Below are 16,097 nucleotides of genomic sequence, written 5' to 3' on the forward strand. Positions count from 1 at the left end.
TGTGTATTTTCTCAAATGATCCAGTATAATGGTTTTATCTTAACAAAATCATTTTTCTTTCGTAGACTGACAAATGAAAATATTTTTATTTTTTAAGTATCTTAATTCATACTATTAAAATAGGGAAATCACTGAATTATAATTATTTTAATAAATGAAATAGCTTAGCTATACTGAAATAAAACCTACCATTTTCTGAACCAATATAAGCATAAAAGATTCTTCTTCCAGAACCCTAAAAAGTTGAATAATCCAGTAGCAGAATTAACAGGTTTATGTAAAAATTCATTTGTATTTATTTTAGTTCCTCTACAAAATACTGTACTTTTCTGCATATGGTTTAAGAATGTTTCTGTTCTGCTTAGCAGAGCAGCAATATTAACTACCTTCATTAAGATTATTTGTTGGCTAGAATGTGTACATCTGTTACTAATGTTCTTTCCCAAAACATTTCTCAGTGGCTGCTTGCCAATACATTTTTAGGTTGATATTTTAAAGTATTAATTTATGTAGTAACTCATATTCAAAGCAAGCTGTTGAAATAAAATTTCATCATGTTATAATGCCTAATAGTTATCAAATACCTGACAACAAATGTATAATCTATTCCCCATTTAATGTTCTTGTGTGCTATCATACACTGTCAAGAAAAGCTTTATTTTATTATTATTATTATTTTTTAATTACACTTTAAGTTTTAGGGTACATGTGCACAACGTGCAGGTTAGTTACATATGTATACATGTGCCATGCTGGTGTGCTGCACCCATTAACTCGTCATTTAACATTAGGTATATCTCCTAATGCTATCCCTCCCCCCTCAGAAAAGCTTTATTTTCTTATATGCTTAAGCTTATATACAATTATCTTACTCTGTCTTGTAAGCAAGAATTTCTTGTTACAAAACCCTCAACCCTAATGTTTTATTTAGATCACTTGATAATTCAATTCCACAAATACTTCTACTATATAAAAAGTACAATACCAAGAACTGCTAATTACATGAAAAAAGTATATAAGATTATAGTTAGACTACTTATATCCTATCCTGGCTCAATGACTAATAATCTAAGACATTTACATTCTATTTTAGTTTTCACTCTACTGTGAAAAGTTTCTACTGTACAGCATTGCTGAGAAGGTATGAGACAAAAAGATAAAATCATCTTTAAAAAGCATAAAAGCATTATATAACTATAAGCAAATAATTATTCCAGTATGCTGTTAAAAACTTGTTTCATTAAGAGATGTTTTGAGAATACTATAGAAGTGTGCTGGGTTAGTATCCAAATACGGGTGGGTCCCTATCATAATTTTAGTAGCTTTTATTACGTCCTACCTATTTCAGGGTGATTATTCTCGGGAATGACAGTTTTTGTATAATTCTCCAAACTACATACTTAAAAACAAAAAAAACCCAAAACTCTTGCAGTATGCTTATATGTGTGTGTAATAAATGTTTAATGAAAAGAGGAAAGCGTTATTTTTATTTTGTTTAGTGTCTGGCTCTGGAATCAAAAAGACATAAAACCTCAAGTATCAGCTTTGCTGCCTACTAGCTATTCTGTATTGGGAAGTGATAAGCATACAGGTGAAGAAGCCATCCTCAGAGATCCACATTCTAGTTTTTCTGTTTACTAGCTACATGATCTTAAGCAAGTTACCTAATCTATGTCTATAAAATGAAATATGACTCCTATTACTACTAACTCCTATTACTAGTACTCCTATTACTATTAGTAGTTAATAGTAATAGTAACTCCTATTACTACTAGTATATTAACAAAAGCATAATTCACATACAATTGCTTTGAAGACTGAGCATGTAAAGGTTTACTGTTCTACTATAGTGCCTGGCACCTAACACACACTGCAGATAGTAGTAATAGTAGTTTACACACACATTTATATTTTGTTTATATTTCTCTTTCCTTTATATAACAATTATGAGAATAATTTCTTTGGCTAATGCTTCTGAAATATAAATATTTTAAGCCTATATATAATAACAAAAACAGACATAAATTTTAATTAGGGAAAACACCTAATCCTACCTTTACACTGCATTCCTTGGCGAAAGAGGCCTTTCAGTAACCGCTTGCAGTACTGACATATCGTGGGACGGGTGTAAGAGTGAACAGCAAATGTGTGTGGAACTTTCACTCTGCACATTACCATCTTTTCCATCCAGATTGGGCGACCACTCCAAGAAGGAATTCTCTTACTTGGTTCCTGGTGGACATGTGACTATAACATAAGTAATTTTCATAAGTGTAAGTCAATATTAAAAACAGAGTAGTGGGAGCAGAGCTTAACCACAAGAATCATTTATTTCAAACACTAAAGCCAAAAAACTCTAAAAATGTTGTTCTCAGCAGTTTCCTTTGCAATGTTTAATTTACCAATCTTTGAATGAGAAAAATGCAGATTCTTTTTGCTAATATTTATGCTTAAAAACATCTAAGATATGTTAATTCTCAGGTATATATTCACTGATGATTATTTGCCAGGCACATTTCAGCACTTTACAAATCAAATACACAAACTTTAAAACAAATAAATGAAGAAAGTATTATTGCTGCTCATTTTGCATTACTGAATGTGACATCTGAATATATTTTGAAACACATTTTAGATTTTCAAATTTATCTTAATACTAAAATATATACATACATTTTAAGTCTAATTAATAATGATAAACAATGGCAGATACAAAACTAATTAAAACAAGTTTCAGTAATTCAGCTTTAAGAAGAAGTAAACTTTGTTTACCCATTTTGGAGACTATTCCAGAACCTAGCTAGTTGGTTTTCTGCCTGGTCTTCTGGCCAGGCGTGGTGGCTCACGCCTGTAATCCTAACACTTTGGGAGGCCGAGGTGGGCGGATCACCTGAGGTCAGGAGTTCAAGACCAGCCTGACCAACATGGAGAAACCCCGTCTCTACTAAAAATACAAAATTAGCCAGGCGTGGGGGTGCATGCCTGTAATCCCAGCTACTCGGGAGGCTGACGCAGAAGAATCGCTTGAACCCAGGAGGTGGAGGTTCCGGTAAGCCGAGATCATGCCATTGGACTCCAGCCTGGGCAACAAGAGCGAAACTCCATCTCAAAAAAAAAAAAAAAAAAAAAAAAAAAAAAAAAAAAAGAAAAAGAAAAAGAAAAAGAAAAATACCTGCCTACACTATCAATCTGAGGCATTTTATAGTGCTCTTCTCCAACCAGTTGTTTTGTCCTTTTCTTTTCCTTTTCTTCCCTTTTTTTTCTTTTTTCTCCTCCCCTTACTTCTCCCTTGCACTTCTCTGTCTCTTGTTTTTTTCTGACTTCTTTTCCTTCCCTTGGTTGAACATATTAATGTAGAATTACCCAACTTCTCTGAATTACAAACATGACTAGTTATAGAAGGCAGCTGAAAGATCTCAGGACATCAGTTCTGGCAGTGAGGATGCAAGCAGGTACAGCAAAATCTGTTCATATAGCTAGATGGTAGTTGGGTATTAGGATTTTGTGCTTGAGTATTTGGATTATGTTTTATTCAATTTTGTGTCCCTAGTATATAACAGGGCCTGGCATACAATAATCGGTGAATGTGTGTTGAATGAATGAAATGAGCCACATTGAACTGGGTGATCTATAATTTAGTTTGATTATTCCCTTCATATAGAAAGGGTCATAGTTACCAAAATCTACTTACCCCTCAGGTTACAAAAATTTTTAATTCATGCCTTCTTTAATTTTGCTTTTTGTTCACCTGGTAGAAAAACCCAAACAGTTGGAAAATAAAGTTCTTCTTTTTGAGACTATGCTTGAACTGACTAAAGTAAACCCTGAAAGCCCTTCCATGCTACAAGTTCTACTTGTTTAAAAATACCCTGAACAATCTAACCAATTCAGACATGTAACTGCACTTCTTATACTTCCCTAAGGAGCTTTCATGTTCAAGATAAAATATAAACTAATGAAAAATGTAACACCTTATCCACTTGCTCTGTCCTTCTGCTATTTCCTAATCTAGTAATACTCAACTGGGCATAGGTGGCGTAACAGCATCATTTGTGGGGCTCTTGACATACCTCTATTCTACTGTCCTCATTCCTAGGTAAGTTCTCTGTGCAGTTCAGTGTATAAGATGCACTAACTTTTTCCTACTAATCTTTTCCAGGCTCTTCTGTAGGTTTATACCAACCCCTCATTTTCAGTCCTTTATGCCGCAGCACTCTTTTTATCCTTTAAAAATCTCACACTAGGGCTAAGCAGTAAGAGAAGATGGAATTTTTGTGAAAGGATTTCAAAAGCTTTTACTCTGGTGTCTTAACTTAGCAAAATATTATGATCACAGTACCAAGACAAGGCCTTGATTTTGCCATTAATTTACAGAAGATCAGAGAAGTTACAGAAAAAACTAAATAATAAGATTACAACCTACAGATGGAAGTCATTTCAAATACTATGAAATGTACAAGGGAGTTATTTCTTTTTTCCTGGATCTACTGCCTTTGCCCTTGAGAGGTACACTGTATTAGGAAAAAAAATCACTGATTTATTAATAATGAGATCTGGGTTTAATTCCACTATCTCTTACTAATTTGCTCTCTGACTTCACACAAGTCACTTAGCTGCTCTGTGTCTCAACTGTCTCATCTGTATACAGATCTGCAGATAGCAGTGCCTCATGCCTGCGATCCCAGAACTTTGGGAGGCCGAGGCGGGCAGATCACGAGGTCAGGAATTCAAGACCAGCCTGTCCAACATGGTGAAACCTCATCTCTACTAAACATACAAAAATCAGCTGGGTGTAGTGGCACGCATCTGTAATCCCCGCTACTTGGGAGGCTGAGGCAGGAGAATTGCTTGAACCCAGGAGGCGGAGGTTGCAGTGAGCAGAGACCGTGCCACTGCACTCCAGCCTGGGCGACAGAGCAAGACTCCATCTCAAAAAAACAAAAATTAAAAAAAAAATTAAAAAAAAAAAAGATTTAAGTATGGAGACCAGGAGCCAGGATACTGACTAGAAGGCTAAAGCAGTGGTACAAGCCATAATACCATCCCAAGGTGTACAAAATGCAATTCATTACTACCGGTAAGTCCTGTCTCCATTACTACATTTTATGTTTCTTAAGTGTAGGAACATTACCATTCTTTAGCATATAAATTATGTTCTAGAGTGATGTCATACACCCTGTAGAAACACAGAGAATAACTACTACTAAAATGTCTATTACCTTAGAATACGTACCTCTTCACTGGGAAGGGCTACATATTCAGGCTGTAGGGGTCTTGGAACTGAGAGGCCGGGTCCTGGTAAAGATACATTTGACAGACGTCTCTTTCTTACTCCACTACAGTTATTTGGAATCTTGAAGGCACATCGTTTATGGTAATTTAATCCACAGCCTAAACATATTTTACAAGGTAAAATATAAGATTTAAAAAAAAATTTACTATTTAAGTGTGATACATAAAAACCACTGCTTCTTTTATTTAACATATTTTCTGTTAGCCATACCTATCCTAATTAAGAACCCAGACAGCAGGCTAAGTGGAAGCTAATGAATTCAAGAAGAAAAGGAAATGTGTAAAAAGGATAAGTCAGCTAGGGCAGTGGTTCTTGAAGTGTGGTCCCTAAGGCAACCACCTGGAAATTTGTTAGAAATGTAAATTACAAGGCTCCACCCCAGATCTACTGAATTAGAAACTACGGGGATGAGGCCCAGCAAAGTGTGTTTTACGATGCACAATACAGTTTGAGAACCACTGCCTTAAAGCACTAGTTAGCAAACTATGGCCTCTGTACCAAATTCCTCCTGTGACATGAAAATTTTATGAAACTCAAATTTCAATGTCCCTAAATAAAGTTTTATTGGAACACAACCATATCTATTCGTTTACATATTGTCTATGATTGGTTTCATACTGTAATAGCAGAGTTAAATCATGACAGAGACCATATGGCCAACAAAGTCTAAAACATTTACTCTCTGTCCCTTTACAGAAAAAGTTGATTGACCCTCCACCTTAGAAGACTGTTTCTTCATCAGAAATGTGCACCTGTGTCCTACTCCTAGCAATTCTAATTCAGAACAAATTTGACAATTTAGTTGTATGTAAGAGACAACTTTTTTTTTTTGAGACAGAGTTTCGCTCTTTCACCCAGGCTGGAGTGCAATGGTGCAATCTCGGCTCCCTGCAACCTCCGTCACCCAGGCAGGTTCAAGCGATTCTCCTGCCCCAGCCTCCCGAGTAGCTGGGATTACAGGCATCCGCCACCACGCCCGGCTAAGTTTTTGTATCTTTAGTAGAGACAGGGTTTCGCCATGTTGGCCAGGCTGGTCTCAAACTCCTGACCTCAGGTGATCCACCAGCCTCGGCATCCCAAAGTGCTAGGATTACAGGTGTGAGCCACCGTGCCTGGCCAAGAAAACTTTTAAAAACAAAAAACAACATGAATATTTATGGAGCCATTATTTTGTACTAAATATTTAACCCTATTACCTGATTTAACCGTTTACTCTTTATGAAACCAGTGGGGCAGAATGTATTTTACGAGAAATTAATCTTAAGAGGTTTAGTAATTTGCCCAAGAATATGAAGTAGGTGGCAGAGATAAAATGAGAGTCCTGATCTCTCCAATTCTAAATCCTCGTTACCACCCTAGTCAACAGCTCGTCATCTTGCTTTTTCACTGATAATAAAAAATGCAAATGTGGAATCTTATTTCAAATGACCACAAAAATTTTAGAACACACACCTTCACATTTCAGTCCTTGACGTACCAATCCCCAGAGCATCTCACCACAGTAATCACAGAAAGTAGGAGCTTTGTAAGAATGTACATAGAGAGTATGTGGACGAATCTGGAAGTCTTCTACTGTGGCTAAAGCTTTAAAAAAGAAAAGTATTACAATACACGTTGTATTTGTACTGCGATGAGATTAAGAATGCTCACACATTCACTTATGTCAAAGTACACAGAATCATTTTTTCTCTGAAAGTTGCACTGGACCATAAAAGTAAATTATTTAATATTGTGATTTCAAACTCTAGTTTAGCAAGTCCATTTACTTCTCATCATTTGAGCTCCAGAAGTAGGTCATAGGTTAGTTATTTGGAACTCCAACAGCATTTTCTCATAATGACAAGATTACAAACAGACATTAGGTTACTTTAACCAATTAAAAACTGCTTAACTTACACAGTGGGAAATAGAACACTAAAGTAAAAACTACTATGGAACTTAACTTCAATTTATGGAAACGTTTCTGTGGAAAAAGATACTGAGTCCTAATTTAGGATCCCAGGATATACTTGTCTGTTTGTTCTCCACAGTCCTAGTGGATATGAGAAAGAAACTCCTTTCCCCTTAGTGAACGTCGGGACAGTAGACCCAAGGAACTTCCTCTCACCTCAACCTGCAAGTAGTCTGATGGAGTCCAGAGTAGAGAAGGAAGAGATGTGAGCAGGACTTCCAGGTGAGACAGGGAGTGAAACTCCTCAGGAATGAAGAGGAGGGCAAGGATTGGGAAATATAGAGATGGTTTGGGGTTGTTGTATAGAAGATGAATGATCAGTGTAGCAGGGAGTGAGATGAATGAGAGAATCAGAAATATAAGATGAGAGGAGTGGGGACTAATAAGGACAGAGAGGATCTCAAGAAAAGGCTCAAAGGTGAATTTGAGAAAAGGGAACTTGGTAGCAGGGCTCTGACCCATGGCTGGCCAGCTTGCTTCCTTTCTTCCATCAGTTCTCCTACTTGCCAAACAAAAAGTACTGCAGACCTACTATGTGCATTATTATGGCATTCTTTCTTCCTTTTCACTCCTTATTATCTTGCCCACATTGCTGCAGGATGAGATGGCAAATAGTGGGAATTAAAAAACAACGTATGGCAAGAATGCGTGAGGTGGAAAAAGTGAAAGGTAGAAAAAAGCCCAGTGGGACAAAAAGGGAAAGAGCATTTTTAATTTTAAAGCCACAGAAATAACCAGCATTGTAATTTCCTCTTCCATATCTTCATTACTTCTTTTTTTCCTGATTCTCTTTTCTAAACCCCAATTTTCTTCTTTTATGCTCTTTACAGAAATGGGGGTGGGGGAAGGGGAAAAAACAGAATTTCAGTGTAACTGTTTTATTTCTTTGACTCAGAGAAGAGTATATTTCTTTCAGACCAAATAATTTCCTAAGCTTAGTAACATTCAAGTAATTCAGTTTATTTTCCTATCCTGATTTTTTCCTTTTTTTTTTTTTGAGACAGAGTCTCACTCTGTTGCCCAGGCTGGAGTGCAGTGGTGCGATCTCGGCTCACTGCAAGCTCCACCTCCTAGGTTCACGCCATTCTCCTGCCTGAGCCTCCCCAGTAGCTGGGACTAGGCGCCCACCACCACGCCTGGCCAAATTTTTTTTGTATTTTTAGTACAGACGGGGTTTCATCTTGTTAGCCAGGATGGTCTTGATCTCCTGACCTCGTGATCCGCCCGCCTCGGCCTCCCAAAGTGCTGGGATTACAGGCGTGAGCCACCGCGCCAGGCCTTTCTTTTGCTTTTTTAAAGAGACGAGTCTCGCTCTGTTGTCCAGGCGGAAGTGCAGTAGTGTGATCATGGCCCACTGCAGCCTCAACCTCCCAGGATCAGGCAATCCTCCCACCTTATCCTCCCAAGTAGCTAAGACTACAGTTGCATGTGACCATGCCTGGCTAATTTTTTTTTTTTAAATTTTTAGTAGAGACGAGGTATGCTGCTCAGGCTGGTCTCAAACTCCTGAGATAAGCAATCCTCCCGCCTCAGCTTCCCAAAGTGCTGGGCTTACAGGTGTGAGCCACCGTTGCCAGGTATTTTTCTTTCTTAATGGTGATATAACATGCCTGAAAGGAAAAATCATATGGTGACCATTATTAGAGATGAAAGAAATTAAGTAACAATAATACAAAGACTAAATATAATCGAATTGCAGCATTTAGTACAGAAAATTAGGCTCTTTGAGGGGAAAAGGCAATCACTCTAAAAAGCCACTTACTTACCTGAAAGAACCACTTCCACTAGGTCTCCTTCATGTATTTCATCTGCTGAGGTAATCAGCTGCAAAATGTTTTCTGAGTTCATGTCATGGCGAAAGAGAAGAATTTTGTCATACATGCCAAAGAATCCACACTCTGGAAACTGAGGGATAATAGTCCTATATCAGTATGACCACAGTTTTCTATTTTTATAAGTAAACGTTTCAATTTTATCAAAGAATTTAAAACATAGTGTTTTTAACCTAACACTATTTGCTAACAATTCTATTGATACCTAAAAGGTGATCCACGTACTCAAGCATCCTGGTTAATTTTAAAGTTCAAGAAAAATAGAAAAGTAAACTTACAAATAAATAATCATTGATGATTTTAAAATACATGTCTCTTACAAATACAGGATTTCTATATTCAGTTACTGATGGAGAATATAATCTTAAACTTACTGCTACTCCACTCTTAGCCTGAAAGATAAGCAGTCGTTCCAGCGCCTTAGGACATGCTGCTCTAAATATTTCAAAATTCTTCAGTAGATCTCAGAATTATAAATGCTCACTGACTTATTTGGGCTCCTCATAGAATATCCTTTAATAAATGACACCATGTCACCTGCCTGCATCAAATGGTCTAATATGAATCAGTTTCACTAAACTAAATGCATTTGTCACAGAGACGCTGCTGCTGATATCGTTTACCTATTTCATACTGTAGCCCTTCTTTGTGAAGACCCACCCACAAAATAACTTTATCTAGTTGATTTTATAACATGAACAATTTGCTCACGTAAGTTAACATGTTTTCCTGTTTGCTTTGCCAAATGGAAAAAGCACAGCCAAATTTGTAGCCCAATTTTACCATCAGTCTTGGATCTTATGGGATGTGTTTTAGGTGCAAACACTAACCTAGTTTCATCTCATTTTCTGACCTTAATTTTCTCATTAGAAAAGTCCTGTATATATTTCTAAAGAGTTCTCAAAACCTTTTTTTGAGATAGGGTCTTGTTCTGTTGCCTAGGATGAGTACAGTGGTGTGATCACAGTTCAACACTGCAGCCTCAAACTCCCAGGCTCGTGATCCTCCCACCTCAGCCTCCCCAGTAGCTGGGACCACAGGTGCATGTCACCACTCCCAGCTAATTTTTTATGTTCTGTAGAGACAGGGGTCTCGCTGTGTGGCCCAGGCTGGTGTTGAACTTCTAGACTCAAGTGATTCCCCCACGTCAGCCTCCCAAAGTGCTGGGATTAGAGGCATGAGCCACCACAACTGGCCTCTCAAATCTTTTTTTAAAGTTAAATTAAAAAAAAATTAAAAACAATGATTAATTAGAAAGTTACAAGTTTATAGTTTTTGTAACCAGGGTAAATAATGGGAAAGTACAGAAATATTTAGAATTTTTGTAATACTAATTCTCCTTTTGAGTCACCAACAGTATTTGTAAAACCTCATAGTATGTTTAACATATATCTAAGAGTGTAAGAATTCTCAATTAAAAAGATACAAGTAAAAATACAGAACCAAAAAATTAAATCTTCATTTAAATTTTAAAATTAAAATTTTACTAAATTTTATGAAATTATTCAGTTGGAGAATAAAATATCTTCATAACCTAGTTACAAAAATTTGTAAGGACAAAGGACTCCACATTCCATCCTCATTAAAACTCTAAGGCCAGATGCACTGGCTCATGCCTGTAATCCCAGCACTTTGGAAGGCCAAGGCAGGCAGATCATTTGAGGTCAGGAGTTTGAGACCAGCCTGGACAACATGGTGAAACCCTGTCTCTGATAAAAATACAAAAATTAGCCAGGTGTGGTGGTGCATGCCTGTAGTCCCAGCTACTTGGGAGGCTGAGGCATAAGAATCACTTGAATCTGGGAGACAGAGGTTGCTGTGAGCCAAGATTGCACAACTGCACTCCAGTCTGGGTGACTGACAGAATGAGGCTCCGTCACAAACAAACAAACAAACTCACTCACTCTACTATTTGTATAAATAAAACTGATTTCAAAAAGGCATACTTCTTGCATGTCCGGTAAGTGCAAGATACTGGCCCCACAGTTTGTAAAGACAGAATAGTCCTTATCTTCCAGGAACTTACAATCTAGTAGGAAGACAGAAATAAACACAAATATATATAGTATAAGGCAAATAACAAAATTAAAATAAAAAATTATAGAAGGAGGAGGAATAAAAAATGTTAACTGGGACAGTGGAGTAGAGGGATTCAGTATGATACTTGAGCAGAACTAAAAAAGAGAAGCAGAGTTTCCATAGGTTGAAAGTGTAAGCATCATCAATGAGAAGTTACAAGGTAAATGGAAGACGGTAAGTGGAGCCTTGAGACTAAAGAATGAGATGGGGGAAAGCTGGGTAGAGAGAGGGCAGAAAAGCACAGGGAACCCCACTGGCACCATACTAACAAAGAAACCTGTTATTATGTTCAAACTTTGCCACCTACTAACTATAGCACCTTAGAAAAGTTGCTTAACTTCTCTAAATCAGTTTCTTGTTTATAAAATGGAGGACAATAGGAGTTATAGGCTGGCTTTATAGAGTTCTTATCAAAATTAAATTACTTGATGGCTGTAAAAGTCTCAGCACTGTGATCCATAAATACCAGTGATTTATATCACTAATGTATACCTAAAAGGGAGACGAGACATAAGGTTTCAGAGCAAGGCAGGAACATGATTAAATCTGTATTTTAAAAAGATAATGCTGACAGCATTGTGTAGAGGAACAGGAACAGAAAGAGACCAGAGAGCAAGATGCTGAAGAAAGGGTGACCCTATCAGTCAGAAAAGTATCAGAGTCTGAATTATATAGCAAGTAAATGGAAAAAGACAAGGAAATTTCTCTCCAGAAACTACAGCAAGTAAATGGAAAGAGACAAGGAACTTTCTCTCCAGAAACTACAGCAAGTAAATGGAAAGAGACAAGGAACTTTCTCTCCAGAAACTATAGCAAGTAAATGGAAAGAGACAAGGAAATTTCTCTCCAGAAACTATCATCAATAAATCATATGGCTCATCAATACTGTTTTGACCAAACCAGAAGTTCTGAATAATGGTAACTGAAGACCTAAATAATAAACACACCAAGAGAAGGAAAACAACATCAAAATAATTAATGTATGACTTGGAAAAAATAAATATAACCTTCTTAATAAACACATGGCCTAATGAAAAATAATATCAACATGAAGTTGGTATTAAGAGACTTAAAAGCTTGTAAAGAAATTACAGTGAGATATTACAAAACATTAAAAATAGACATATGTATATTAGAGGCTAGAAAGCTGTTGGTAATGATAAAGAATAAAGTCATTTCAGCATGTTTTCATACTATACTCATCTATACGACAGACAAATTAGAGTTCATAAAGGAAAAAAAAAATGTAATAGCCAGCCTGTGAAAAAGATTTCTGCTATTCGTGATTATGATTTATAGGTATGTTTGGTAGGGTATTTAGAAATTACGTAAGAGTCAGGCCGGGCGCAGTGGCTCATGCCTGTAATCGCAGCACTTTGGGAGGCCGCGGCGGGAAGATCAGGAGGTCAAGAGATCAAGACCATCCTGACTAACACGGTGAAACCCCATCTCTACTAAAAAATATACAAAAATTTAGCCGGGCGTGGTGGCGGGCGCCTGTAGTCCCAGCTACTCCGGAGACTGAGGCAGGAGAACGGCGTGAACCCGGGAGGCGGAGGTTGTAGTGAGCTGAGATGGCACCACCGCACTCCAGCCTGGGCGACAAAGCGTGACTCTGTCTCAAAAAAAAAAAAAAAAAAAAAAAATTATGTAAGAGTCTAAACTAAAAACATGAGAATTCTTGAGACGTGTATATTAAAGATATACACCTAAAAAGAAATACACCCCTCATTCATAATGAGCACACATTCATTATGAAGAATTATACAGAACAAACAAAAACCAAACTGTTAATGAATTCAATATACAAGGATTTACTGTTCCTGATTTTGAAAAATTCAGAAAATAGGTTTTCACGCAGGAGTGGATCTCTAAACAATGTCTTAATTCTGGCCACACATCAGAACCACCTGTAGAGCTTAAAACAAAGGATGCTTAGGCTATCATTTCAGGTTTATGGTTAAGCTCCTGAGGAATAGGCGGCGAACACCTGAATTTTAAATTTACTTTTAAAATATTATTCAATGTATGTATTGTATATACTCTTTAAAAATAATCTATTTTTAAAAATAGTTTAAAATTTATAGAAAATGTAGACAATAAATAGTACAGAGTTCCTGTATACTACCCCATACCCAGTTTCCCCTATTATTAACATTGTACATTAGTTACATGCTATATTTATTACAATTAATAACCCAATATCCATACATTATCATTAACTAAGGCTCATACTTTATTCAGATTTCCTTATTTTTACCTAATACCCTTTTTCTGTTTAAGAATCCCATCCATACCACATCACCTTTAACTGTTATGTCCCCATAGGCCCCTTTTGGGCTGGGTTAGTTTCTCAGACTTTGCTGGATTTTAACAATCTTGGCTGTTTTGAGAAGTTCTGGTCAGGTATATTGCAGGAGGCCTTTCTACTGGAATTTGTCTGATGTTCTTTTCATTATTACTGGGGTAATGGGTTTTGGGGAGGCAGACCACAGAGGTAAAGTGCCATTCTCATTGCACTCTACCAAGGGCACCTACTGTCAACATGACATCACCACTGATGTTGGTTGAGGTAGTGTTTGTCAGGTTTCTCCACTGCAAAACTACTCTCCCCCCACCCTTTTCTATACATACTCTTTGGAAGTAAGTCATTATGAGCAGAGCACTTAAGAAGTGGAAAGGTTTGTTTGTTTCCTTTCCTTGAAGGTGGAGTATCTACATAAATTATTTGAAAATCTTCCAAATGGGAGATTTATCTATTTTCCCCCACTTATTTATTCACAACATTTATATATATCAATATAGACTCATGGATATTTACTTTATACTTTCAGATATAATATGTACTCTTTTAAAATATAATTTTATTTATTTTTGAATAGGCAATTATTCAAAGTTCAAAAGGCAAAAAAGAGTAGACGGCACACCCATGCCCTAGCTGCCTCATTAACCGTCCTGTAGTCAACAGTGTTGCCAGTTTTCTCAGAATCCTTCTGAAAATATTTTACATACCAAATACACATGAATGTATCTTTCCTTCATTTTACACAAATGGCAGCACACTATAAACACTGTTCTGCAGCTTGCTCTTTTTTTCACTTAGCAATATAGAGATCATTCCATTAACAAAGTTATTTTTTTTTTTAAAAACAGATGTATAGTTTTCTTTCACCAGTCCCATCTAAGTATATAATCTTAACCAAGTTACTTAACCTCAGTTTTTCCATCTGTAAAATAGTGCCTACTTGCCTACTTCATAAAATTATCATGAGAATACGTTAATATATATATACAAAGAACTCAGTGTCCTTTTCAATTTTTTTCATCAATGTTTTATAGTTTTCATTGTAGAGATCTTTCACTTCTTTGGTTAAGCTTATTCCTAGGTATTTTATTTTATTTATAGCTATTGTAAATGGGATAATTTTCTTGGTTTCTATTCCAGATTGTTCACTGTTGGCATATAGAAATGCTACTGATTTCTGTATGTTGATTTTGTATCCTACATCTTTACTTAATTCATTTATCAGTTCTAATGGTTTTTTGGCAGAGTCTTTAGGTTTTTCTAAATAGAAGATCATATCGTCTGCAAAAAAGGATAATCTGACATCTTCCTTTCCAATTTGGATACCATCTATTTCTTTCTCTTGTCTAATTGCTCTACTTAAGACTTCCAGTATTATGTTGAACAAAAGTTGTGAAAGTGGGCATCCTTGTCTTGTTTCAGATCTTAGAGGAAAGGCTTTCAGTTTTTTCCCATTCAGTATACCAGCTGCATGTCTGTCATATATGGCCCTTACTGTCTTGAGGTATGTTCCTTCTATACCTAGTTTGTTGACAGTTTTTATCACGAAGTTTTCATTGTGTTGAATTTTACTGAATGTTTTTTTGGCATCTATTGAGATGACCATATGGGTTTTGGTCTTCACTCTGTTGACGTGACATATTATGTTTAATGATTTGCGTATGCTGAACCATCCTCATATTCTAGAAGAAAACAATGGGGAAACACTCCAGGACATTAGCCTGGGCAAAGACTCCTTGAGTAAGACCTGAAAAGCACAGGTAGCCAAAATAAAAATGGACAAAGGGGGTCACATCAAGCTAAAAAGTCGGGCACAGTGACTCACACTGATAATCCTAGCACTCTGGGAGGCCAAGGTAGTGGACTGCCTGAGCTCAGGAGTTCGAGACTAGCCTGGTCAACATGGTGAAACCCCACCTCTACTAAAATACACACACACACACACACACACACACACACACACACACACACACACACAAGCTTCTGCAAGGAAATAATTAACAAGTGAAGTGACAACCTACAGAATGGGAGAAAATATTTGCAAACTATTCAACTGACAAGGGGTTAATAACCAGAATATATAAGGAGCTCAAATGACTCAACAACAACAAAAAAAGAAAATCCAATTAAAAAATAAGCAAAAGATCTAAATAATACATTTCTCAAAAGAAGACATACAAATGCCCGATTGGTATATGAAAAGATACTCAACATCACTAATCATCAGAGAAATGCAAATCAAAACCACAATGAGATATCATCTCATCTCAAAATGGCTTTTATCAAAAAGACAAAAAATTAAAGATGTTGGTGAGGATGCAAAGAAAGGGGAATGCTTATACACTATTGGTGGGAATGTAAATCAGTACAGTCACTATGAAAAACAGCACGGAGGTTGCCAAAAATAAAACCACCACAGGATCCAGCAATCTCGCTACAGGGTATCTACCCGAAAGAAACCAAGATATCAAAAAGATATCCGCGATCCCATGGTTACTGCAGCAAAATTCACAATAGCCACAACAGGGAATCAACCTAAGTGTCCATCAATGGATAAATGGATACAGAAAATGTGATACACATACATGGTGGAATATTATTCAGCCATAAAAAGAATGAAATCCTATAATTTGCAAC

General features: G+C 36.6%; 1 protein-coding gene across 9 annotated transcripts in view; it reads right to left on the reverse strand.

Annotated features, from left to right (window-relative positions):
• PRKD3 (protein kinase D3) overlaps positions 1-16,097 on the reverse strand; it is a 74,332-nt gene that overhangs the window by 33,621 nt on the left and 24,614 nt on the right. For 6 of the 9 annotated variants that reach the window (XM_005264238.4, NM_005813.6, XM_047443853.1 and 3 more), the window contains 4 exons: positions 9,011-9,149; positions 6,746-6,877; positions 5,234-5,391; positions 2,055-2,247 (listed from right to left, as the gene is read on the reverse strand). In XM_005264238.4, coding sequence (XP_005264295.1) covers positions 2,055-2,247; positions 5,234-5,391; positions 6,746-6,877; positions 9,011-9,125 — 598 coding nt within the window. In that variant the 5' untranslated portion in view covers positions 9,126-9,149. Of the gene's footprint in view, positions 1-2,054; positions 2,248-5,233; positions 5,392-6,745; positions 6,878-8,799; positions 8,818-9,010; positions 9,150-16,097 lie in introns of those variants that run through there. The other 3 variants (XM_047443854.1, XM_017003744.3, XM_047443855.1) reach the window with 3 other exon arrangements.

Source organism: Homo sapiens, chromosome 2 (assembly GCF_000001405.40).
Source record: "Homo sapiens chromosome 2, GRCh38.p14 Primary Assembly".
Classification (NCBI taxonomy): domain Eukaryota; kingdom Metazoa; phylum Chordata; class Mammalia; order Primates; family Hominidae; genus Homo; species Homo sapiens.